Genomic DNA, 4339 nt, shown 5'->3' with positions numbered 1-4339 from the left:
GTAAAACCGTGCTGGACTCAGCCAGTGCCCATGCACTGAGAGAGCATGTGGACTAGACCTAGCCAGAGGGGAATTGCCCATCCCATTGATCAGAACTCAAGTTTCTCAGCAAGCCTTCCCACTGTGGGGCCAAAGTGCTCTAGGATCCTAGGCAAACTTGAAAGGCAGCCTAGGCCTCAAAGACTGCAATTTTTTGGCAACTTCTAGTGCTGGGCTGGCCTGACAGCCTGTAAACTAGAGTGGCACATAACCTTTGAAGACAGCAGCCAAGGCAGCTAAAGAAGTGCTTGTGCCATCTCTCCCCCAACCCCAAACAGTGCAGCCAACAACAACAAAAGTGTATCTTTCCTTTGCTTAAAGGGTGGAGAGTGAAGAGTAAAGAGGATTTTGTTGTGCGTCTTGGACACATGCTCAGCTACAACAGGATAGGGCACCAGGCAGAGTTGTGAGGCCCCCATTCCAGGCACTAGCTCCTGGACATTTTGGGACATACCCTGGGCCAAAAGAAAACCCATTGCCTTGAAGGAAAACAAAACCAGTCCTGGAAGGATTCATCACCTGCTGACCAAAGCCCCTTGGACCCCCCAAAAAAAGCAGTGATGCCCAGATTGTATTCTATGGGCCTTGGCAGTGAGACATACAGGTGCAACTCAGCACATTCCCAGCTGTGGTACCTGTGGTGAAAGAATTTTTCTGTTTGAGAAAAGCAGAGGGAAAAGTAAAAGGATTTTTGTCTTGCAATGTAGGTACCAACTCAGCCACAGTGGGGTAGAGCAAAAAGCAGGCTCTTGGGTTCACTGAGTCCAGGCCTAGGCTCTTAGACAGTATTTCTGGACCTGCCCTGGGCCAGAGGGGAACCCACTTCCCTGAAGGGTGAGTCCCAGGTCAGGCACCATTCACCACAAGCCAACTGAAGAACCTTTGAGCCTTAAGTGAACATGGACAGTGGACTAGCAGAACCCCCCACACCCATGAGCTGATGGTGGTGGTGCCCACAGAAAGAGTCTACTCTGCCTTTTGAAAGGGGAGGGAAGAATGGAAAGGACTTTATATTTTGGTTTGAGTGCCGGCTTAGCCACAGTAGAAAAGAATATCTGGCAAATTTCTAAGGTATTTTTACTCCAATCCCTGGCTCCCAGGCAACATCTTTGGACTTGCCTGGGGCCTCAGGGAACTCACCACCCTAAAAAGAAGGACACAGACCTAGCTGTTTTTGCCACCTGCTGATTGTAAAGCCTTAGGGCTTTGAGTGAACGTAGGTAGTAGCCAGGTAACCAGGTAATTATTACAGTGGGCCTTGGGCAAGGCAAGTGCTGTGCTGGCTTCAGGTCTGACACAGCACAGTCCCACTGGTGGTGACCATAGGAGTTCTTGCATCACCATACCCCCATTTTCAGCTGGCTCAGCACAGAGAGAAAGAGACTTCATTTGTTAGACAGAAGGTGAGAAAAAAGAACAAGAGTGTCTGCTTAGTAATCTAGATAATTCTTCTGTATCTTATCCAAGACCACCAAGGCAGTGCCTTATGAGTCTGCAAAACCACAGTGCTGTTTGGTTTGGAGCCCAGGTCCTTTTGAATACCTGCACAGCCTTCTCAATAAGACTGGGCACAAACCCCATCTGGGAAGGCTACAATAAATACCTAACTCTTCAATGCCCAGGCACTGAAGAACATCTATAAGCATCAAGATCATCCAGGAAAATATAACCTCACCAAATGAACTAAATAAGCCACCAGGAACCAATCCTAGAGAAACGGAGATACACAACCTTTCAGACATAGAATTCAAAATAGCTGTGTTGAGGATACTCAAAGAAATACAAGATAACACAGAGAAGGAACTCAGAATTCTATCAGATAAGTTTAACAAAGAGATTGAAATAATTCAAAAGAATCAAGCAGAAATTCTAGAGGTGAAAAATGCAACTGACATTCTAAAGAATGCATCAGAATCACTTAATAGCAGAATTGTTCAAGCAGAAGAAATAATTAGAGAGCTTGAAGGTAGGCTATTTGGAAATAGATAGATGAGACAGAAGAAAAAAGAAAAAACAATGAAGTATGCCTATAAGATCTATAAAAGAGCCTCAAAAGGGCAAATCTGAGAGTTACTGGCCTTAAAGAAGAGGTAGAGAAAGAGATAGGGGTGGAAAGTTTATTCAAAGGAATAATAAGGGAACTTCCCAAACCTAGACAAAGATATCAATATCCAAATATAAGACTACAGAACACCAAGCAGATTTAACCCAACAAAGACTACCTCAAGTCATTTAACAATCAAATTCCCAAAGGTCAATGATAATGAAAGGATCCTAAAAGCAGCAAGATAAAAGAAATGAATAACATAAAATGGAGCACCAATAAATCTGGCAGCAGACTTTTAAGTGGAAACCTTACAGGTCAGGAGAGAGTGGCATAACATATTTAAAGCACTGAAGGAAAAAAAGCTTTTATCCTAGACTAGTGTACCTGGTGAAAGTATCCTTCAAGCATGAAAGAGAAATAAAGACCGTCCTTCCAAGACAAATAAAATTTGAGGGATTTTTATCAAATCCAGACTTTTTCTAAAAAAAATACTAAAGGGGTTTCTTCAAACTGAAAAAAAAAAGATGTTTATGAGCAATAAGAAATCATCTGAAGGTACAACTCACTGATAATTGTAAGCACACAGAAAAGCACAGACTGTTATAACACTGTCATGGTGTGTAAACTACTCTTATCAGATGCAGAAAATATAAACAATGAACTAATAAAAAATAATAACTACAACTTTCCAAGTCCTAGACAGTACAATAAGACATAAATAGGAACAAAAAAGTTTAAAAGTGGGGGGATGAAGTTAAAGTGTAGAGTTTCCATTAGTTTTCTTTTTGCATGTTTGTTTGTTTATGCAATGAGTGTTAAGTTGGCATCAGTTTAAAATAATGGGTTACAAGATAGTATTTGCAAACCTCATGGTAACCTCAATTTGAAACACATATTAACAAAATGGAGACACAAAAATAAAAAGCAAGAAATTAAATCATACCACCAGAGAAAATTACCTTTACTAAAAGGATGACAGGAAAGAAAAAAGAAAGACCTCAAAACAAATTTTAAAATGGCAAGAGTAAGCCTCCACATATCAGTAAAAACATTAAATGTAAATGGACTAAATCTTCAATCAAAAGACACAGAGTGGCTGAATGGATTAAAAACAAGACCCATTGTTCTGTTGCCTACAAGAAACACACTTTGCCTATAAAGATACACATTGACTGAAAATGAAGGGAAGGAAAAAGATGTTCCATGCCAATAGAAACCAAAAGAGCAGGAGAAGCTATATTTAGAAGAAATAGATTTTAAGACAAAAACTGTAAGAGAAGACAAAGAAGGTCATTATATAGGGATAAAGGGGTCAATCCCATAACTGGATATAATGACTGTGAATATATGCACTTAACACTGGAGCATATATTTAGGTGCTCCATATGTAAATATAATATATAAAGCAAATATTATTAAAGGTGAAGAAAGAGCTAGACCTCAATACAATAATAGCTGGAGATATCAAAATCCCACTTTCAGCATTGGGCAGATTTCCCAGACAGAAACTCAATAAAGAAGCACTGGACTTAGAGCAAATGAACCTAATAAATATTTACAGACTATTTCATCCAAAGGTTGCAGAATACAATACACATTTTTCTCCTTAGCACATGGATCATTCTCAAGGACAGATTACATGTTAGATCACAAAACAAGTCTTAAAACATTTAAATAAATTGGAATAATATCAAGCATCTTCTCTGACTACAATGGAATAAAACAAGAAATCAACAACAAGAGGTATTTTGGAAATTATACAAACACATAGAAATTAAACAATACGCTCCTGAATCAATTAAGTAAATCAATTAAGAAATTTGAAAATGACAATGAAAACACAGCATAGAAAAGCAAGAGCAAACCAAATCCAAAATTAATAGAAGAAAATAAATAACAAAGATCAGAGAAGAAATAAATGAGATTGATATGAAGAAAACAATACAAAAGATCAATGGGACAAAAAGGGTTTTTTTAAAAGACAAACAAAATTGACAAGCCTTTAGCCCAACTAAGACAAAAAGGGAGAAGACACAAATAAATAAAATCAGAGATGAAAAAGGAGATATTACAACCGATACTTCAGAAATTCAAAGGATCATCAGTGGCTACTATGAGCAACCATATGCCATTAAATTGGAAAATCTACAGAAAATAGTTACATTCCTAGACACATAGAACCTACCAAGATTTAACCAGGAAGAAATCCAAAACCTAAACAGACCAATAACAAGTAACAGGATGGAAGCCATA

The sequence above is a fragment of the Homo sapiens genome, chromosome 1, assembly GCF_000001405.40.
Source record: "Homo sapiens chromosome 1, GRCh38.p14 Primary Assembly".
NCBI classification, from domain to species: Eukaryota; Metazoa; Chordata; class Mammalia; order Primates; family Hominidae; genus Homo; species Homo sapiens.
This window is presented reverse-complemented; position numbering follows the sequence as displayed.